Source organism: Homo sapiens, chromosome 1, assembly GCF_000001405.40.
Source record: "Homo sapiens chromosome 1, GRCh38.p14 Primary Assembly".
Classification (NCBI taxonomy): domain Eukaryota; kingdom Metazoa; phylum Chordata; class Mammalia; order Primates; family Hominidae; genus Homo; species Homo sapiens.
This window is the reverse complement of record NC_000001.11, coordinates 24,642,038-24,664,433: the sequence shown is the minus strand read 5'-3', so window position 1 is coordinate 24,664,433 and position 22,396 is coordinate 24,642,038. Positions and strand designations below refer to the sequence as shown.

The window sequence follows — 22,396 nt, the reverse complement described above, 5'->3', positions numbered from 1 at the left end:
CCCTAAGAAACTACCCCATCAGGGCCGCTATCTTCTCACTTATGAGAGTAAGGCCTGAATTAGGGATTTGGCTCTAAAATTTTACAGTTTTATGGTCACAGTGACACTAATAATCAAAAGTTTCAATAAAGATATGCAGGTCGGGCCCAGTGGCTCATGCCTGTAATCCCAACACTTTGGGAGGCCGAGGCGGGTGGATCACCTGACTTTAGGAGTTTGAGACCATCCTGGCCAACATGGCGAAATCCCTTCTCTACTAAAAATACAAAAATTAGCTGGGCATGGTGGCATGTGCCTGTAGTCCCAGCTACTCAGGAGGCTGAGGCAGGAGAATCGTTTGAACCTACAAAGCAGAAGTTGCAGTGAGCCGAGGTCGCACCAATGCACCCCAGCCTGGGTGATAGAGCCAGACTCCATCTCAACAAAAAAAAAAAAAAAAAAAAAAAGAGAGCTATGCAACCCACCTTTCTAGTACTGGAAAGACTGAACAGGGCCAAAGCCTTCCATTCGCTTTTATTTATTATTATTATTATTATTATTATTATTATTATTATTTTTGAGAGGGAATTTAGCTCTGTTGCCAGGCTGGAGTACAGTGGCGTGATCTCAGCTCATTGCAACCTCCGCCTCCTGGGTTCAAGCGATTCTCCTGCCTCAGCCTTCCGAGTAGCTGGGATTACAGGCACGCGCCAACACTCCCAGCTAATTTTTGTATTTTTAGTAGAAATGGGGTTTCACCATGTTGGCCAGGATGGTCTTGATCTCCTGACCTCGTGATCCTCTCACTTTTAATATTTCTAAAGTTTCTCCCTAGTTTTTCCTTGCCCTCCCTAATGTCACCACAAATACAAAGTCCCTCCCCCCAAATCTAAGGAGCAATAATCCTATCTCTGGAAAAGTATCCAGATACTGTTAAAAATCTGCGTGCTGCTTGATGTAAGTTGATGCAAATTATCACAAAAGAGCACAACCAGATATTAAAAATCTAAGTTCAAATAAGGGTCTAAACCAAATAGCTCATGTATAATTCTCCCTATCATTAATCTAATGTGTTAAAAAAAATACTCAAACCAAAACAACTTAGGATCTGCACATTCACAGCCACAGCCACCATATATTTAAGAATGAGATGAGGTCACCTAAATAGGAAATTAAGTCACTACAATTTTTGACATGTAACCCTAATTTACAAAGTAGTGTCTAACCAACCTTTTAGTCACTGGCGATTGCCATCGCTTTCCCATCTGCATCCTGAGAGCAGTGGAGAAAAACAAATGTCAAGAATTCCATTCACTAAATTATTTACTTGGGTGGATTAAGTACCATTAATGGAGACATTTTTAAATATTCAAAGATGTTCAGGAGTTACTGCTATAATAGTTTGGTTTATTTTTCTAATCATGCACACATATATGACATGGTGGTTTAAAATTTACCAATTCTAAATTAATTATTAATAACCACCAATAAAGCAAAAACAAAACAAAACAGAAACCCTAAAAAGCAAACAAAAATCCAACCACATCCAAATACTTGAAGGAGTTAACCAAATTCTCAAATAATCCCAAGTTATCAAATTTCATCACAATTACAGAACATCAGTGAACATCACTGAAGCAAAGATGTTACCGAGGGGAAGTCTCTTTTTGGCGCTTTCGTGGTGATGGAGAAGCACTCCGGGAAGGGGAATGTCTCCGCCGCCTGCCAACCTCACCATTCTTCACATGGGATCTCTTGGGTCGTTCATCTTCTGAGGAGGAGGAGGAGCCAGAGTCTATAATTACAAAATTAAAAAAATATTACATTAGGTTTGTGCTTGAATCTGTCCAAGTTTTCTGAAATCTAGGTGGATGGAGTGTTCACTAGGGTAAGCAAGCATGTATACAGGCCATCAGTTCTGAACAGAATCATTATCAATATATGATCAATGATTTCAAAGCCAAGCATATTATTTAAATAAGACATAGAAATAATTTCCACAGTGTAATCCAATCAAGATGGCATACTCTAAGAAGTTTGAGCTGGGCACGGTGGCTCACCCCTTTAACCCCAGCATTTGGGAGGCCAAGGCAGAAAGACCGCTTGTGCCTCCTGAGTAGCTGGGATTACAGGTCTGCACCATCATGCCTAACTAATCTTTGTATTTTTAGTTGAGACAAGGTTTTGCCATGTTGGCCAGGCTGGTCTCGAACTCCTGACCTCAAGTGATCCATCTACCTCAGCCTCCCAAAGTGTTGGGGTTACAGGTTAAGCCACCATACCCAGCCTGGTATATTCTTACAATAAAAAATGCAAATAGTAAAATAATAGGGTAGATTATTATTATTTTTTTTGTGGAAACAAAGCCTTGCTCTGTTGCCCAGGCTCCCAGGCTGGAGTGCAGTGGCGCGATCTCAGCTCACTCACTGCAACCTCTGCCTCCTGGGTTCAAGGGATTCTCCTGCCTGGGCCTCCCAAGTAACTGGGATTACAGGTGTGCGCCACTATGCCCGGTTAATTTTTGTATTTTTCGTAGAGATGGGGTTTCGCCCTATTGGCCAGGATGGTCTTGAACTCCTGATCTCGGCCTGCTCACCTCGGCCTCCCAAAGTGCTGGGACTACAGGTGTGAGCCACTGCGCCCAGTCTAGATTTTTAATAGGGAAAGATGTTCTAAATATACTGTTAAGTTAAAAAGTGAGGCAACATATCTACAGTTGAGCTTCTGTGGGGTTTTTTCTTTTCCTTTTTCTATATGCACAGAAAATTTCTGAATAAAAGCTTTAGGAGGTTGGAAAAAGAATGATACGTTTCCAATTTTATACTTCTGTTTTCTGTTTCACTATTGTATCCTAGGGACCTATTACTTTTATAACAATGTAACAGAAAATTAAATTTTGCAAAAGGACTTAAAACCAAAAAAAGAAACAATCCTGCCTCCTCAGACAGATTTCTATGTAGGCAAGTAAGTACTCATGCTGCACACACAGATGTTTATATACCAAGTATTTTTTAATAGGAAATACAGGTAGAAAAAAAACTTTCATCACCATCCATACCAGATGAAGACTGCTGGTTTTGTCGTCTGTATTGGCGTCTCTGCTGCACAGAATCTGCTGCAGCCATTTTGCCACCTTTATCTTCTTCTGAAAGATGGATGCATTTAGAAAGTGTTTCTTTAGTTAAGCATATAGAAAATTTGCAATTTGAATAGGAAAATAGTCTCTCAAACCTTCATTTGGTTGGATCAAAAATACAACTACTATATATTTTTTTTAAAAAGAGTTTAAAATGCCAATTCACAGGCTGATTTAGACTATCTTCACCAAATATAATAAAATTTATTTAGGCATTTACTACAGGTCAGGCTGGTGCCAAGCATTTTACAAGCAGATACAGTTAACTGTCAAAAACCTCTACTGTCCCTATTTCGGAGATGAAAGAAGAAAGGCTCAGATAAGTTAATTAAAACAGAAACAGTTAAATTCTGGAATGGGGGATTCCACCCAAGTCTGTCTGCCTTCAGAGTCTTAGCTCTTACCCTATACTTAATCTTCAAGCAGAAGGGGATGACCAAATGTGCAAAAAATCAAAATCAGCTTTAAGAAAAACAAAAACAAACAAACCAAAATCACAAAAAAAAACAACAAACTTACCCGATTCAGATAACTCTACTTTTCTAGGCTTCGGTGCTGGTGAAGGGGATTCTCTTTTCTCAGTACCTTTATGTTTTGTCACTAAAAAAGAATAAGAGTGGAAAAAAGCTTACGTACAAAAAAAGGTCTATACAAGATGCTTTTCTTTTAATTTTTAAAAATTTATTATTATTTTTAAATAAAGATGGGGTCTCACTATATTAGTCAGGCTAGTCTTGAACTCCTGACCTCAAGCAATCCTCCTGCCTGAGCCTCCCAAAGTGTTGGGATTACAGGCACAAGCCACTGTGCCCAGCCAAGATGCCTTCCTGCTATTACAAAAATGGGTGTGACTACTCTCAAAAAGAATTTATGAAGACTTAAAAAATTCCTGTAAGACCTTGTTGTCATATCTGAACATTATCTGAAGTGAGACAAGAATTTTTAAATGTTTAATGAAAAGCCTCAAAAAGTTCTACAATGATTTTCAAATCTTGAGATTCTCCCAAGAAAACCAACAGTTAAAGGAAATTGGGAGCTGCTACTGAGTAGAACAAGCTCAGTAAAGTAAACCTCTGTGTGCTACACGAGCTCCACAATCTAAAATACACACCCTCCACACCCACACTCACTCCCTCACACTCAACTTCAGAGACTTCATCAACATGAAAGCTTTTAAGCAACCACAATAGGTGGGTTCAGAAAAGTAAAAGATGATAAATGATTAAGAAATAAGATCTCATGAAACTTTCACAAAGATATTTGGTCTAGAAAAGAAGAATGACTGCCCAACAGGTTAAAGGTTCTTTATGTAGAGCATAATCTTCACAATAGCACAGGGGATTTAAACTACCCATGAAAAAAAGCAGACCGCCACAAATAGTAAAAATGATTAAATACAAAGACGAGGATTCTTTCCAAAGAGCTAGAAAGAAAAAAAGGCATTTCTATACCTCAAGTAGTAGGAGAGCAGTGGGTATCCTATGAATTATCCAATTGTCTTTTACCAATAACATAGAAATATGGTAACTACCTTTTGTAAGCCTGCTGTATTAGACACACTATTAACACAGTAGTATCACATCCCTTTCTCCCTGTTCCATTTCACAAGAGAGGAAACCTGAGGCTTAAAAAGAAGCAACTTCACCTCAGTCACAAAGACAATTTAAGTGAGCTAAGATGTGAATCCAAGAATCTATTTTTAGGCCATGGGTTTTAATCTCAACAACTAACTCTGCTTATAGTATCTATCCATTGCTACAACTAAAATCATAAGTATATTCACATATAAACATATATATACCATAAATTAACCTAAAACACCACTTGAGAACATCCCAATAAGAAATAAACCTACAGACAATTTGATCCTCTCAGGATCCTGATACCTGTTTTGTGTGATTAAAGCAATTGCCATGGAATGTTTGACTCAGAATACAGATACATCTCATTTAACAGACACTCACATTCAGAATTCTGTAATGGTTTATTCCAAGGGGCAGTAATTAGAGAACCAGTGATCTAACACAGTAATCGCATCTTTGCTAAAGAAGTCAAAATGAAGAATTTACCAGTATGCCTTTTCAATGAACAGACTTTTCCCTTTCTCTCTCTTTTTTTTTTTTTGAGACAGAGTTTCGCTCTTGTTGCCTAGGCTGGAGTGCAATGGCATGATCTCGGCTCACTGCAACCTCCGCCTCCCGGGTTCAAGGGATTCTCCTGCCTCAGCCACCTGAGTAGCTGGGATTACAGGCATGCGCCAACCACGCCCGGCTAATTTTGTATTTTTAGTAGAGACAGGGTTTCTCCATGTTGGTCACGCGGGTCTTGAACTCCCAACCTCGGGTGATCCACCCACCTCTGCCTCCCAAAGTGCTGGGATTACAGGCGTGAGCCACCGCGCCCAGCGACTTTTCTTAAAATTTCTACGTAATAAGCCATTTGGACAAATCACTGGATTGGGTAAAGAATGGCTATCACTCAATTAGATATCAGGAATCATGACAGTGCAAATAGCAAACTATACTTAATACTTATATTTTAACAAATTCAAAGAAATAAAAATATTTTAAAATTGTTAACTATTTGAGGCTCTTTTTCTAAGTCCATATTCTCTATTTTTAAGTGTTACTTAATCCTCAATTTCTGCAAAGATATTATGGGCACGTCGTTAAAAAGTGCATGTCCAAGTTACCACACCTTAGAGAACTGGGTTCCCAAGCTTGCTTTGGAAGCTGATTGTTTGGATACATTTTCCCCTAAGAAACATTAAAAATGTGGTTATGCTTACAAGATAGTTGGCAAAAGCCTACTCATTATATAATACAAGTGAATTTAACATTATTTCCATTCTCCCCCAGTGGAAATACACATCTGGAGTTGCATCCTGATTCAATTTCTCACTAATTACTCAGCTAAAGTAGTCTTTATTAATACATTTGTATTAGCTGGGTGTGGTGGCATGTGCCTGTAATCCCAGCTACTCGTGAGGCTGAGGCAGGAGAATTGCTTGAACCTGGGAGGCAGAGGTTGCAGTGAGCCAAGACTGCACCATTGCACTCCAGCCTGGGCGACAGAGCAAGACTCCGTCTCCAAAAAAAAAAAAAAAAAAATTTATACCATCAAACAACTATCATTTATATACTCCTACTCTGGTTTAATACAATTGAATCACAGCATTATTAATATTATAACAGCACTTCAGATTTCTATTTTTCTAGATGAGACTTTACACCATTTACTTTATGTTAATGTTGTTTTAAGTATTCAAGGGACAAAATCATTCTAGCATGAAGTCAGAAATCGTAGAAGGCAACTTTAAAACCACAATTTTAAATTTACTCCAACAGTCCTATTAATTATTAATCTTAGACCTGCCCAAAAGATCACTTATAAAGATAAGTTACTCTGTGACCAACAATAGTAAAATAACCATTTAAGTGTCCAGATAGCACAATGTATGTGGCCAAGCTAATCTAAATAAATCAAAATTACCACACCGTCACCACCAGTATTGATCATGTTAACATACTTCGCTGACTGTGCCACTGATTTCAAGCACTATTTTATGTACTAAGATAATGCCAATTTATGAAATGTCAGTAATTACAAATGTTTCCCCTAAGATCCCTTCAGATGACTGTATACTGTATTCCAAATAATTAACCTGTAAGTTCCCCAAAACACTTTTCCTGCCTCCCTCCCACTCCATTTGCCCACTATCAAGAGCAGAGCCCTAAAGCCCTGATTAGTGGCCACTAGGGAAAATATTAACTGTAATATCTATTACATTTCAATGATGTTACTGTTCTAAGCAGCAGAAACTGCAAAGTAATTTCTGAAATCATACTACCAGATAGAGAAGCTAAAGAATTTCAACCCTGCCCTCCATTTCTCACCTTTAGCAATCAAAGAAGAGTTCTGGGGTAGGAAAGTTGTGAAAAGTATTCACTATTTAACTGGGAATGACAACTCAAGTTTTATTCCTAGTTGGTTGACCTTGACCAAGTCAACTAACCTGAAAATCTGTTTCTTGATGACAACTGTTAAGGTCTTTTCTAGCTCTGAAATTTCATCACAGAGGGCTGGGATCAGTTTAATATAAAAGGTTGTCTGGGCCGGGTGTGGTGGCTCACACTTGTAATCCCAGGGGTTGGAGGCTGCAGTGAGCTATGACTGGGCCACTGCACTCCAGCCCGAGTGACAGAGTGAGATGCTGGCTCTATTTAGCGGGGTGGTGGGGAGAGGTTATTTCCAAGTAGGTCAAACCAATATTCAGCTCCAGTGGTCACAGGGGAGACTGACTACACTGCCTGTAGTGCCTCTCTTTGGGTAGGTTGTTTGAACACGGAAGCCCTGTCCCAAAACCCACAGAAATACTTATTTTCACCATGGCTTACTTCTTTCCTATGTACATATCCACTCTTGTCTTGTTTGCAAAAAGTATATGCCAAAACACAAGAAATTAGCATCTGTGCAGATGCTTTTTAAAAGTACCTAATAATTCTTAACAATCAACCTATTTTAACAAGGATTGGTCCCTCTGTTCAGGTACTTTTGCAACTCTTAGGCTATATGATATAAATAGAAAAAAATCATCACTTGATGTGTTTTTGCAAAGTAACAGGTAAAAACACTTGTTTTTTTCCCTGGAGAGCTTTGTGGCTCCAGACAAAGAATAAATATTCAGAAGTACAAACTTTACAGGAAAAGACAAAATAGGCCAGGGCCATGGGCATCAGATTTGGACATGGTAACTGAAAATGGACTGAAATTTTCCCAATGCTGAAAAGCAGTATGGTACATGAGGTTATGAAAACAGTGATCCCGAAGCCCCTCTCTCAAACTGAGGACTGAACCTGGAACAGTTACAGGCTTCTCTACTTTCACTAGCTGCTTCTCTAAGGGGCCAACAAAAGTGGCCATGTCTTATTTAATGAACCTATCACTACAATAAAAATGTCACAATTCAGAAAACATTACTTTTTACAGACTATCATAATCTGCTGGTCACCCTTTCACTCTGTCAGCTTATCTATGCCTCATTGTCACAGATACAAAAAAGGAAAGCAAAATTTGCCTTTCTAGGTATCACCACATTGCAGCCTTGGGGAGTGGGGAGATAAGGCAACAGGGTGAATAATTAGCAATGCTGGTCTCATCAAGCTCATTAAAATGTATAATGAAAATTTTGCCCATCCCCATTTCTTTGTTTCTAACCTGAAATTTTTTCTCTCTCTTTTTTTAAGAGTCAGGATCTCGCTATGGGGCTGAGGCCAGCCTTGAACTTCTGGGATCAAGTGATCTTCCTGCCTTAGCCTTCTGAGTAGCTGGGACCACAGGCTCATGCCACCACACCTGGCTCTAACCTGAAATTTTCAATATGATCATAATAACCCCAGCGTGTGTTAACCTACAGATTGCTCCTTAAAACTCAATTGCTTTAGCAGCTTTTAAGATCCTCCCCATCCCTTACTACTCACCTTTTAGGCTGTATATCATTCCAGCCCTAAGCTCCAGAGAGCCTGGTTCAAATGGACACTACAGTTTTTTCCATGCGTATTTAATGCTCACAGAACAAACCCCAATAGACCACAACCTTCACTCAGACTAACACAGCATTCTACTTGCCTGGCAGGTTCACAGATCATAAATTCCTCAGAAATCAATCTGCAGAATAAAGCAAGGACAACACTCAGAAGAACCCTGCCTAGAACCTAAATTAAAAAAACAAATCAGCTTTTAAGAGGACACCATGTCCTTTGCTTGGGAGCGCAATGCGACCAAGAAAGAACTAAAAGAGAATATGAAGTCCTCTTATTTAAGATATCAAACCAAAAATCTTCAGGAGAAAAAAAAGTTAACTGGTCTCATAGTAATAAAATGATCCCTTATCATGCCAACGCAAACTTTGATATGTTACCCCAACTCAAACAGCCCACGGCTGGTAAAAGATTTCTCCACCTGCGCAATGCCACAGGGCATTGCTAAAAACAAAACCCTTTTACACATAAAAAAGCCCCAAGATTTTAAAGCAGGAAAGAGGTAGGCTTATAAGTAAACCTACAGAGAGTATTAGATACAAATATTATCTAGCTATTTCATACTTTGAGAGTGAGCAGGGGGCAATAACTGACTACGCTTTGTAGCCAAAGAAAGAGAGACCATGTTTCATATGTGTTTGATTTTTACCTTTACCTGAAGTTCTCCCTGGAGACACAGAAACACGACTTTTTCTTGTACGGTTTGACTGCTGGGGTGTAGGGGAATGCCGAGTTTTGGGTGGTGGAGTTGCAGGAGGTGATGGCCTGTGCCTTCGCCTTGGAGGACTTGCTGAAGGAGATAACCTACGAGTTTTCCGAGGGGGGCTGGATGTCCTCTTGGGAGGCTTCTTTGGTGGTGACCGTGAACGAGATGAAGAGGATGATGAGCTACTCCCAGACAAGGATGCTGACGAACGTCTTCTTCTGTGGAATAAAGTATTCATATTCACTAATTGCACACTTATAAAGAACGGCCTTACAGGTATGAACAGTTTACACAAAAATACAGCTATTTTAATCCGACTTTTGAGTTTATGTAGCTAAGCACATAAATGAGTCCAAAAGAATGGGGGAAAAAACCATAACCTAGGCCAGGAAACAGCTAGTTCTGAGATTAATATAAACAACTTAATCTGATAAATACTTCTGTCTGTGTTCTCTCTCCAGTTATAAAACTTGTCAGGTTGAATGCTATAATAAAATAACTAACTAGTCCTTCTGCCTTAGGAATGGTATTGGTGTTTTGGAGTTTGCATATAAAATTTGGGGGCAAGGTATTTTCCATTTAATAACACAATGTTGAGAAACCTTTAGGTTGCATTTTTAAAAAAGATGTGCAAAACTAAGAATTCATTTAGCTACATAAACTTAGAAGCAGGGGCCTCTCGAATTCTGCGGCAAAATTTGTGTTAAGTTCTGTTGCAATTATGTGTACCTGCAGAATTCACCTTTGGCGGAAGAATTCCTGAGAACCTGAAAAAAAGAAACCCTACCTTAAGTGTGAGATAAAAACTGGCTGAAAGGGAATCTTAAACAATCTGTAAAATATTGACTGCTAAATGGCTGAGTAAGCACAATTTAAACATGCTGTTTGCAAAACTCCAGTATAAGAAATAGCTGTTTCCACTAATCTTGTACTAGGAAGCACCAGCATTACTTTTCTCCTAAAAGGGAATTAGAAAAGTGTGATGCCTGAAAATTGACTGACCATTTACCTCACTAATTTCCTCTATGAGCACAACACATCAATTCTTTGCAACAGTAGTAATAGTTCAATATATCTTAACAACCCCTCCCCAAAGAAAATTTTCAAAATATGGGACTCTGAAAAACCTGACTGCAGAAACAAAGTAACTTTACAGAGCTTACTTGATTTTTCCCCTCTTTATTTCCAAATTGATTTGGTTCCCTGAAAAGAACTTTAAAAGACTCAAACAAAAAATTCTGTCCAAAATAACTGGAAGCTTAATCATCGGCATTTCTTCCCAAGCCAGGTGAAACGTATTGCAAGAAGGCACAAAAACTGCTACCAGTGCACTAGGACTCTACTTTGGGTAGACTTAGCCACTAATTTTTGTTTAAAGTGATATATCCAAGATTCAAATATTTTATCTTATGCTCATTTTAGAATGATGTAAAAAAAAGAACACTGGTACAGTTGGGGTTTTGAAAAATAACCAGACACTAAACTAGTAATAGCAATTATATCTATGGAATATAGATATATTCCCCCACGGATTATGGAAAACTTCCAAGTTATGCTATTTCTGTCTGAATTACTTATAAGCTTCATTACTTCTATAATGAGAATTTTCTGAGAATTTTATAAAAAATTCATAAAAATACTTTTCTCAAAGTATAACAGCAAATGAATTACTTTAATACTGGTAAAAGGAGCTTACTGGCCCTATAATCAGCTACTTTTCAGAAGCCAGTTAAAAGCCAAAGAGAAGGTGGCCAATTCTCTTACTTAGTATGATTTCTTGGTGAAGTCTAGAAGGGTAAAAGTTAACAGAAAAGTATCAATAAGATGAATTTCTCGTTTACTTTCCAACACCAGACTAGACACTTTTCATAACACGAACAACTGCATTACACTTCAAATGAAACAGACTCTTTAGAAGACATTGTCTAATATCACCTATCAGTTCTTTCTTCCAGGGGACACTAATTTACAGATTATCCTAAAAGAAAGATTATCCAGAAGTGTCAAACACTTGACACTTCCAAATTTAAAAAATCTTACCGTCTTACTGGAGATCTACTCCTTCTATGCCTTGGTGGAGGAGGCATTCTTCTTGGCGGAGTTCTTCTTCGAGGAGATGGCCGCCTTCTTGGGCTTGGCCGCCTTCTAGGTGAATACGATCTGCCATAACAAAGAGAATTAGGTCCTGAATAAACCAGGAGTGAGGAATTTCTTGGCTTAGTTTTCTCAATGGCCACATCTAAAAAATAAATTTCAAAGATCAAAATTTTCCATTTATGTAGATTTTTATGGTACACAGAAAAGTGTCCTCAAATTCTCTGTGTACATTCAAAAAATATTTGTACTAAACATCTTCTACCACTTTGAAATTATTTATCTAATTGTACCCAGTAGAGTAGTATATAAAACCTAAGATCTTTGTTGATCTTAAAGCCACAACTCACCTTGATCGGGATCTATGGCGCCGTCTAGGTCGAGTGTGAGAAGGAGAGCGGGACCGCGTCCGGGATCTTGATTTGGAGCGTGACCGAGATCGTGGTCGGGTCTTCTCCTTCTCCTTTTCTTTTTTGGAATTTTTTTCCGGAGAAGGTTCTTTAGGCTCTGGTATAGGTTCAGGTTTGGGAACTTTCAGAATGTCACTGTGGAAACAAAAGCTTTTTTTTTTTTTTTTGCCTTCTTGTACTCAGCCTTCTAAATCATTACACAATGATGTAATAAAGTATTTCTAAAACTTTTCAAAATTCACAGACTTGTCTCTATCTCCAAAAGACACATAAGTATGTATGTACCTATCACTGAAACCCAGAGAGCAACTAATAATTCCAACCATGTACATTTTCTTTTCTTCTTCTGAGACAGGGTCTCACTCTTGTCACTCAGGCTGGAGTGTACTGGCATGATTTTGGCTCACTGCAGCTTCAACCTCCCAGGCTCAAGTGATCCTCCTGAGTAGCTGGGACTATAGGCATGTGCCAACCATGCCCGGCTAATTTGTGTGTGTGTGTGTACATATATATATATATATATATATATATATATATATTTTTAGTACAGATGGAGTTTCACCATGTTGCCCCAGGCTGCTCTCTAACTTGTGAGCTCAAGCGATCCACCCACCTCAGCCTCCCCAAGTGCCGAGATTACAGGCATGCACCCCCGCATCTGGCAACCACATACATTTCTTAAAAGTGCGAAGTTGTCCACAATACGTTGAGGAAAAAAAGCAAGTTACAATATATAAAATACCTGAAACAATACAACCAAAAGATAGTAATGGTCACCCTCTGGGGCATTTTCTTCTAATATACTCTCCTAAACAATTTCTTTTCAACAAACTAATTTTATAATTTAAAAAATCTAAAAGGAAAATAAGTAGTTTTATTTTAACTCAGATGTCATATTTGCAGTCACTATTAATCTAAAATTGTGATTATTTATAAATGAATTTTTATATACTTGCCTAGTAGAAGTAGCCTCTTGTACTGAAGGTTCTTTTACTTTCACTGAAGGTTCTGGGAGCTCTGGAGTTTTTTCCTTCTTTTCTGGAGCAGGGGAAGGACTCCGGCTCTTGGTTCTGTGACGGGGAGATCGAGAATGACTGCGCTTTCTCTCTCTCCTGACAGGGGAAGATCGTCTTCTAGGGGAAGGAGATCTGGATTTGCGTCTAGGATGAAAGTAATTTTTTTCAGGTTTTTAAATAACATGGATTGGAAGAGAGGAGTCAAAGGGAGAAGTGAGGATTAATCTTTAGTTACACTACTGTTTATATCTGAGATGTTTCCCTATGGAAATAAGACATGCTAACCTAATCTACTTGACAGGGAAGAGAAAGACAAGCAAATGAAAGATAACATTCTCGAGTATATCAGTTATAAGGGAGAAAAGCACTAACTTGGGACTCTAGACTTAGGTTCTTAATCATTCCCAGAGATCAAAAGACCAACTTTTCAGAGGCAAAGAGGATGCTTTAAAGCAAACAATGATAATCCTTGACAACAAATCAAACTCCCAAACATAAAACATTTAGATGCGGACAGATTACAATGGAGTTCATCAGGAAGAGCCTCAGTATGCCAGAAAAATGACTAATACCATTAAAGCAACATGTTCTTCAGAAAAGAGAAATATACATCAAACATCCAGAAGATAGCTTTTTTGCGAGAGGAGAAGCCCTCTTTCTTAACAGTAGCCTGCCTAACTCGAAGGGTTTTTCTCTTATTCACACAGAAGGAAAATGGCAGACATACTTCATCAATAGTCAAGTAGTTACCACCATGACAATTTGTGCTTAGCTCTATAAATATTACTTCCATAAGGAGATTTTAGTATCAAATATATAAATGAAAGGGACAAAGAAATTACCTCTTCTCTTTACTAATTCCAGCAGACATTTATGAAAGAAATAAGCAGAACCCTAAAAATAAAAAGCCTAATGGAGTTCTCACCTTTCACCACAAATATAGAAGCTGAGCCGTGGATTTAAAAATGTGAACCTAACAATAGTCTCACTGGAAGAAGAAAACAAATAAATGATCTGAAGTTTGGGTTCAGTACAACCATCTAAGAAAAGCAGAACAGGGAATTAGGTAAGTATTACATGAACGGCTAATGAGTACAGATTTCGAGTACAGATTTCTTTTTAGAAGAAAGGAAATGGAAAGAAAAAGTGAGTCAGAGTACATTTTTAAAAACCCAAATTAACTGTTATGAACTAAAGCAATATGGAAGAAAAAGTTTAAAGTTTTGATTTAGGAATTTAGAGTTGGATAATTTATGAACATCTGCGAGACACTCATGGCTAAATTATCTGTCTCAAACAAAATATGACAGATTTCTTTAGTCCAGAGGCAAGGCACAGGTCACCATGAAAACTGCATGATGGAACAAATTCCTTGAATAGCGCTGTTAGATTCCTTTTTAACTAAGGAAGTTTCTTAAGACCTAAAGTACCTGTAAAACATCAGTTATGCATCTATTGTATGATACCTTCTTGGGCTACGAGACCGCTCCCTTTTTTCTCTGCTGCTTTCTTTTTCTTCCTTATCTCTTTTATCTTTGTCTTCATCTTGCTTTTTCATAGATGCCAGTTTTTCTTGTTCAATCTGCAAAGACCAGGTTTTCAAAATACACATAGTTGAACATTTGAGAACAAACTGAAGACTACTTTCTACGTGTGTTAAACACCAATGCTATTATCATTTCATCGGCCTCTTCTTTTGAACCAGACCTGTTCTTTCTTCACCTACACTACAGATACGCATTAAGACTGGTATTATCGCCACTCATTTACAAATAAATATTCACTGAAAGTTAATCTCTAAGACCTGAACTAAAGAGATGTTTTCAAGCTTACTTCAAAAAAATAAAAATAAAAATAAAAAATAAAATAAAAAAGAAAATCACTTTCACATTGACCTTATTCTTTCTGGGAGTTCATCTGTATTGCCCATATTAAGAGTTTATGCTGGCTGGGCACGGTGGCTCACGTCTATAATCCCGCCAAGGGCGGGCAGATCACTTGAGGTCAGGAGTTCGAGACAAGTCTGGCCAACATGGCAAAATCCCGTCTGTACTAAAAATACAAAAATGAGTTGGATGTGGTGGTGTGCGCCTGTAATCCCAGCTACTCAGGAGACTGAGGCATGAGAATCGCTTGAACTCAGGAGGTGAAAGCTGCAGTGAGCAGAGACCACACCACTGCACTCTAGCCTGGGTGACAGACTGAAACTGTGTCTCAAAAAAACAACAAACCAAAAATCCTTATGCTTACCTTTCAGTGTTAAATTCAAATTTCTTTTAAGCTACATGCACTCACATATTAAGAATTTGTAAAAATCTAGCAAATCACTAGACTGGGAAAATGACATTCTAAACTCAATGTTTGGTTGGAGGGAGGAGCAGTGAACCAAAACTGAATGTTTAAATACAGTACAGCAAAGCAAAACTACATGAAGATCCTAGCTGAGTCATATACTACCTAAGGTGTCTCGGCAGCCTGGCCAATACTCTCAAATCGACATTACAGAAAAGAAAAGGTTATTACCTGTCTTTGTTTTATTTCTTCTTTCTTCAGTTCTAGGAAAGCAGAAGGGATTCCCGCGATGTTTTCTTGTGCACTTAGCAGCAGGGGCCACAGTTCTCCCATAAATTCTCGAGCATTTTTTCCATTCAAAAATCCAGTCAGGTTGATTTGCATCATTTTGGAGTCTGGATTCTGCAAAAAGACACGACAGGAAGAAAAACAGGTTACTTCAAAACCAACCAACCAACAAATCAACCAACCTAAAACTCATTTAAATTAGTATTTTTTAAGTCTACCATAGGGGCTTAGACATATATATAGTCCTTACTATTTTACAAATAGTCTTCCCTAGTAGCTTCTCAGCAATATAATCTCTAACAGATTACCAAATTCTCTCTCACTCTACCAAAAGCATCAGAGCAGCCTGTTAATCCTTTGTGGATTTCGTAAGTATTTTTAGACTCTGTGGCTGTTAGTGGGCCTTACATTTATTAACTTTAAAAACCATCATGAAACATCCACAAATTCTAGTATTTACTAACAAGAAAAGTATTTGCTTGCCTGGAAATTTTCCCCCAATGAGAAACGGAAAAAGTACATAAACTGCTCCCTAACACTACAGATAGCTTTGCATAAAATATCTATTGTCCAGTTATGAAAACTAACAAGTTATGCATGCAGTCTGTAACTTCTGAGGGCTAAGCTAAAGGCCTGAGTTTTATATAAGGAAAATCTATTATAACAATGCCTCAAATTCTCAACTGTCCACAAAGTGCTAAGAGGTCAAGATTTCTCAAAAATAATTGGGTTTTTAAATGCTAAATCCGTTGGTCAAGCAACAAGGTCTGTATAACAAGCACAGCTCAATAGCACAAAGCAAGTACAGATTCCAGGTGTCTTCAGTTTCTTCTTGGAACCTTGGGGGTTTGGAATCGCCAAGTCCCCTGTAGAGAAAGATGTTCCCTTGGCTTGCTTCCGACTCCCTACTGCAACTCAACCACCTTGAGTTTAATGTTATATCATTTATCTAAATTGCAAAAGACGAACAAGCAATAATGAGTACACAACCACAAAAAAAGAATTGTCTTAAAAAGTTCTAAACTTTAATCTCATGCTCACTACAAGGGGAATACTACCAGATACTTAGGTTTTTAAAATGCACTAAAATACACATCAGTAAAGCATTTCTCCAATAAAATCTATCTTCAATCATCATTTAAAAAACTTTCTCCCCTGTTCCTGGTTTTCTAAGATGCATATACTTTATAGAAAGTGCATTCTTAAAATTAGTCTTTAAAAATATTCAAAACAAAATACAAACACCAAATTATTTTAAAACTAGAAATACCTTATCAGTTGAAATGCCAACTGTTCTGTCAAAACATAGGGTGAACTCTTTGGGGGAAATGATTAATGTAAAAGTAAATTCACATTGGTATATATGCAAAAAGGTCATATGGTACATATCTTAACTGTCCTTTGGGTTGCTGTGGCAAAACAGAAACTGTCTTACAATAAGAATGTTCTTAAACATCAGTTATATCATCATATTATCTCATGTATAAAGGAACAATTATATGCTGCCAATTTGTCTGAAGTTTAAGTATAAACAAAAATCCTGTCTCTAAAATGTAACTGATGACTAGCTGACATGCAGCTACAAAGACCTTAGTTCCTTTAAAAACAATATCCAATCAAATCAGAATTGCCCCTCATGCTTCACATAAATGTCCATCTCATAATAGTATTTTAAAAGAGCAGTGTACAGCTTTACCCAATTGCTCTTTCCTGTTTGTGTTTTTTGTTGTTGTTGTTGATGTTTGGCCACTTTACACAACTCACCTCCAAACACACACTGCATCATCAAGGGAGTTGGGTCAGAGCGACATTGGGACACTCACTCTGCTGTGACCTAATAAGGTGATGGTGCTATACTTCAGACGCAAGGAATAACTTCCATTTTGGTTCAGGCCTTTTAAATCATAAATCACATTATCATTAGAAAATTGCTGTCAAAGTAACTTAACATGTAACAGCAAAATTACAAACAATAAGTTTGATTTTTCACCTGTGTAGCTTTCAAAACTATGCACCTTCACTAAACTTCCAGCCTTAATAGTTGTTTACAAAGTGAATTCTTTTCACAACAAACATTGTAAAATAACCCTTCTATATTTGCACTCCATAGAAAAAATTCAGTTTCCAAAGATTCACAAATTATATCACATATTCAGAAACAAGAGCCATTTGTATATTAGTACCTTCACTTCCAGCTGGTTGAATATAAACTCAATCACAACATCATCTTCAAACCCAAGGATTTCCGTTACTCTTTTTGTTATCCAAGGCTTTATAACCTCCAAATTTACTTTGCTCATGTCCACCTGATGAAACATAGAAACAATTAAGTACAACTTCACAATCCTAAAAAAAAATGCTCAAGTTAGAGTTCTGTCTACCAAAGTTCCTTTTAGCTTAGTTTTTTTGTTTGGCATAGTAGAATCTGCTAATTTTTTTTTTTTTTTTTTGAGACAGAGTCTTGCACTCTTGCCCAGGCTGGAGTGCAGTGGTGCTCAGCTCACTGCAAGCTCCGCCTCCCAGGTTCGTGCCATTCTCCTGCCTCAGCCTCCCAATTAGCTGGGATTACAGGCACCCGCCACCACGCCCGGCTAATTTTTTGTATTTTTAGTAGAGACAGGGTTTCACCGTGTTAGCCAGGATGGTCTCAATCTCCTGACATTGTGATTTGCCCGCCTCGGCCTCCCAAAGTGCTGGGATTACAGGCGTGAGCCACCTCGCCCAGCCACAATCTGCTAATTCTTATATGGCTGTGCCACGTGTGGTGGCTAAAAGGTGGTTAATGTTCAATTATGTTTTTCTTAGCATTCAAGTTACAATGCATCTCCAAAACAACCCCAGAACTTGAGTCAAGTAAGTGTGCTATAAAGATGCACAACAGTCTCATCCAGAAGAATACCTTTTTTTCTAGGCATTCTGCAAATTTCAGCTGCTTCAGTAGTTTCTTCTGTTTGTTGCTGAACCGATTATCCTGTTCTGCACTTGTTCCCTGCAGGAAGAGAACCACATCTTAACTAAGGGTTCAAAGTTAAATCCTTACTTTTTATCACCTACGACCTTTATAGCCAAAATAGGGTAACCAAGTAAACACAATACCAAACTAGTTTTCATAGATGAGAAATGCATACTCCTTCCCCAATGTAGCTGATACTTGGAAAACTTGACTGGATTTTTAAATTATCAAGTATATGTTCATCATAAGTCAAACCTAAAACAACAGTATACAGCATAAAGCCAACACCTCCTCATATCCAATGTTAGATTTGATTTGTATCCTTTCACACCTTTTCCTATGCTAATAGATACGTAGGGCTTTTCTGTTTAAATGAGAACACATTGAAGTATTTGAAATTTCATTCTTTTTTGAAAGCCAGTTGCATGCTTGCAAAACTACTGTGGCAATGCATACAAACAGGGTGAAAGGAAAAAAGAACATCCCAGGACTGTGCTGTTAGTCTTCTACAACTTTTAGGAACTTGGAATGAGTGAAGAAGACAGGGTTACCTAAATAAACTCAATTTCAGCAAAGAACCTGGAAAAATGAAAGCTTACAAATACTACCTTAGATCATCGAGTGATCACTAATTATTCTTTTCATTTTGTCATTCCTACTGGCCCAATTAAACACGGAAATAACTGGCTGTGCCATCTGAAATGTACTGATTGGTTCACTGAGTTGGCCACAGTCCCCTGGAAAGCGATCAAAAAAAATTTTGTTTGAGAAGGTAAAAACTGTGCCACTACTTAGCCGTAAGATCGTAAACCAAGTTACCCAGCCTCTCTGAGGATAGTTCCTTCCCTGCTAAAATAGAGGTATAGAAACCTACTCTGCAGGGTTGCTGTGTACATACCAGAAATAACATATGTAAAGTATCTGGCATGTGGAAGAAGTTCATTGAATGGAAGATATAACTTCTATACTACCTGAAATAGTTCATCTGGTTGGCAGGGTACTAGATAATGACCCTAAAATATTTTAACTTGGATCTTAAATCCAGTTAACTCTTGTATTTAAGCAATTGTAGGCTGTGTACTAAAAACTCGCCCCTCTCCCAGACCTTTACCAATACCACAAGCAAACTTCATGTTAAAATTTGCTCATCAATCACCTTACTCTTTTATTTATTTGGACTCCTTTCCACAGAAAATATTTTGACAAAAGTCAGAAAAGGCTTTCACTTGTTTCAAAATACTACTTGCACTGCAGAAAATATTGAATATTTACTACAAAACACTTTGATGGAAATTACAAAATGGACAGTTCATAAGCAGTTTGCAAATTCGATACGCTAATCTGAAACTATCATTCCAAAATAAGTATCTTACTGTTTGCCTAAGAACAGCTGGTTGTTCTTAGGTAAAATACTTGGGGGATAACATTCTAACATGACGAAAAACTCGTTGGCATATTTAAAGCCAATTAAAGAAGGATTTCAATGTCCAATTCGGAGTGTCCAAAGATATTTTTACTAAAGTTCTGGCCCTCCTCCCTTCCAATTTTTCCTTTGAAAACACACAAACTGCAAATTACATGCTCTAAAGAGAAGAGCTAACGTGTATTTCAGAAAACGGATATATTGGCTTAGATCAACTAGTTTCTATACGACTTCATTCTGCATTAACAGTTTGCAAGCCCTGAGAGACCAATGGTGCTCAACTCTAGTCCTGTGTCCCTTCTAGATCTTGATCTAGTACTAATTTCCTACAGGAGGGGACTATGGGACACACAGGCTCCAGCACGAGCCTGATAAAGTGTGGGCCCCGAGAACCAACTACGACGGAGTAACTTCCCTGCCTGCAGGCGATGGGCAGACGACGCTGGCAGAGCCTAGGTAAGAGTTACCTTTCACCAGCGGACTCCAAGAGTAAAACACGATGGTGGCGGGTGGTGAGGGATGTGGAGGGCGGGAAGGAATTGAATCACTCCACAACCTGCCTCCATACCCGCGCATAGTTTTCGTTGCACCCTCTACCCTCACAGAACCTTAAATTCACATTGTCCCAACAAGTTATCTACGTCCCCCTCCCTGAAGGGATATCAAATTGGGCGGGAGCTCCCGCGAACCCTGACCTGGCGCCTCCACGAAGGCTTAGGACCTGGAGGGAGGACGTTGGGGGGCGGGGAGGGCGCTTTTTCAAAAAAAGCCGCTGAATGCTTCTTCCTGTTCTCCCTCCCCTAAGGTGCTCTCCCAAGATGTACCCCCAAACCATATTCTCCCTGCCCTGCCGCCACCAGTGACCTTAGGGCTTTCCTTTGGCCTCCCACTCGGGACTTCCTCCTCCGGCTCCGCTAGGCCCCAGGACCCGGCGGCACGCACGGCGCTCGGCCTGCAGGCCCCGCCAGGCAGGCGGGCAGCGAGGTACCATCCCGGCCCATTCCCGCCGCCATTTTCCGGCCACCGTCGCCGCCGCGTAGGGGGGACCATTCCGGAGGAGGAGACTGCGCAGGGGCGCACCGGTCTCCGCCGCAGCGCACGGGGGGGGGGGGGGTGCGCCGGCTCTAGGAGGAATCCTTAAGATCTCCGAAGCTCCCCTCGCTGGCCACCCTGTGCCAAGCTAAGGTCTCCTACCAGGCCTTACCGAGAAGTCCCTGGCCTCACCCCGGCGCCCGGCGCTTCTACTTACGCGGAAAAATCCCGCGTCCATCTTGCCGCCTCGCTCGGAGATCGCTCCCTATCCCAGGGTACACCGCGCCGCCGCGACGGAGGGCGGGACCGGCGGAGGGAAAGCCGAGCGCCGGGACGCAGCGCGCGTCGTTGCGCCCGCCCCCTCCGGCCGACACGAGGCCGCGCCTGCTCAGTGCGCCGAGAGCCCGCCACGCGTGCGCACGAGCGCCAGCGGGGGCGGGCTTCTGTCAGGCCCTAAACTCCCCGGTAGGTAGTGGAGGAGGCGAACCTGACGACCGCAGCCAATGGGAGCAAAAGGGAAGGCCGTCGAGTCGCCCCGCCCTGCAAGTCCTTTTGTGGCGCGTGACCATCCTTGTTCGCGCAATGTGACGTGACCCATCCTTCGACCCGTAGTGGAAGAGGCTTGGCGTCCTGGAGTTCCATGAAGCGATTGAAGAGAAAGGCTGTTACCTCAGAGTGACGCGGGCGAGGCGGCCCGTGCGCCGACGAGAGGCCTGCGGCTTCCCTCTCGTTGTGAAAGTTGTGATTGTGTAGGTTTTACGCGTTTACCAGACGAGAGAGGATTGTCTGTAAAGCGGTCGAGCCTGGCAGCAGACATGAAATCTGCCTTGTAGCTCAGCTTGCTCAGCCTTTGGAGGAAGCTGGAAGTGTCCAGTAGATGGGTTTCGGTTTCGGCGGCCCGGTAATCACGCCGCTGGGCAGGACGCCCGCCAGAGAGCCGTGGTCCTCGGGCTCTGCCTCGGGCTCTCCCCAGCCCGGGTCTCGGACTCCGAGAAGCACCAGCTTCCTCGCAGCGCCTCGCCTGGCCGCCCTGGTGCCTCTGCTCTGGCTGCGAGGGCCTTGGGTTGGATGCGCACTGCTAGATTTTCTTATTTTGAAAATTATTGGCCGGGCGCGGTGGCTCACGCCTGTAATCCCAGCACTTTGGGAGGCCGAGGCGGGCGGATCACGAGGTCAGGAGATCGAGACCATCCTGGCTAACACGGTGAAACCCCGTCTCTACTAAAAATACAAAAAATTAGCTGGGCGTGGTGGCGGGCGTCTGTAGTCCCAGCTACTCGGGAGGCTGAGGCAGGAGAATGGCATTAACCCGGGAGGTGGAGCTTGCAGTGAGCCGAGATCACGCCACTGCACTCCAGCCTGGGTGACAGAGCGAGACTGTCTCAAAAAAAAAAGTTATTTTTATCTAATAAAGCAGAGATGGGGGTCTCGCTCTGTTGCTGGTCTCGAACTCCTGGCCTCCCAAAGTGCAGGGACTTCAGGCCTGAGCCACCGCGCCCGGCCCCACTCTGCCAGCTTTTTCGCAAG

General features: G+C 40.3%; 1 protein-coding gene across 73 annotated transcripts in view, besides 4 other annotated features; it reads right to left on the bottom strand.

The window, feature by feature from the left end:
• The window catches only part of SRRM1 (serine and arginine repetitive matrix 1), a 29,980-nt gene extending 8,848 nt beyond the window's left edge, over positions 1–21,132 (bottom strand). Inside the window, exons 1-15 of one of the 73 annotated variants that reach the window (NR_159387.1) lie at positions 21,087–21,132; positions 18,361–18,450; positions 17,645–17,767; positions 17,226–17,355; positions 15,405–15,575; positions 14,348–14,463; positions 12,822–13,025; positions 11,806–12,000; positions 11,402–11,521; positions 10,091–10,128; positions 9,305–9,579; positions 3,635–3,715; positions 3,038–3,124; positions 1,630–1,774; positions 1,210–1,251 (exon numbers count right to left, since the gene is read on the bottom strand). Coding sequence is in view for 59 of the 73 variants with exons in the window: in NM_001366595.1 (NP_001353524.1) it covers positions 1,210–1,251; positions 1,630–1,774; positions 3,038–3,124; positions 3,635–3,715; positions 9,305–9,579; positions 11,402–11,521; positions 11,806–12,000; positions 12,822–13,025; positions 14,348–14,463; positions 15,405–15,575; positions 17,645–17,767; positions 18,361–18,450; positions 21,087–21,107 (1,670 nt within the window). In the remaining 14 variants the exon portion in view is untranslated. Of the gene's footprint in view, positions 1–1,209; positions 1,252–1,629; positions 1,775–3,037; positions 3,125–3,634; positions 3,716–8,743; positions 8,783–9,304; positions 9,580–10,090; positions 10,129–11,401; positions 11,522–11,805; positions 12,001–12,821; positions 13,026–14,347; positions 14,464–15,404; positions 17,768–18,360; positions 18,451–20,701; positions 20,876–21,086 lie in introns of those variants that run through there. The other 72 variants (NR_159383.1, NR_159386.1, NR_159391.1 and 69 more) reach the window with 72 other exon arrangements.
• Positions 9,334–9,519: a silencer, noted in NCBI's record as "fragment chr1:24981406-24981591 (GRCh37/hg19 assembly coordinates)". NCBI's record gives its function as "represses an EF-1alpha promoter that drives an FKBP-Casp9 reporter gene in an ReSE screen in K562 erythroleukemia cells {active_cell/tissue: K562}" and the evidence as "EXISTENCE:reporter gene assay evidence [ECO:0000049][PMID:32094911]".
• Positions 20,751–20,810: a silencer, noted in NCBI's record as "silent region_435". NCBI's record gives its function as "represses an Ori minimal core promoter by ATAC-STARR-seq in GM12878 lymphoblastoid cells {active_cell/tissue: GM12878}" and the evidence as "EXISTENCE:reporter gene assay evidence [ECO:0000049][PMID:35858748]".
• Positions 21,071–21,390: a silencer, noted in NCBI's record as "silent region_434". NCBI's record gives its function as "represses an Ori minimal core promoter by ATAC-STARR-seq in GM12878 lymphoblastoid cells {active_cell/tissue: GM12878}" and the evidence as "EXISTENCE:reporter gene assay evidence [ECO:0000049][PMID:35858748]".
• Positions 21,461–21,560: an enhancer, noted in NCBI's record as "active region_405". NCBI's record gives its function as "activates an Ori minimal core promoter by ATAC-STARR-seq in GM12878 lymphoblastoid cells {active_cell/tissue: GM12878}" and the evidence as "EXISTENCE:reporter gene assay evidence [ECO:0000049][PMID:35858748]".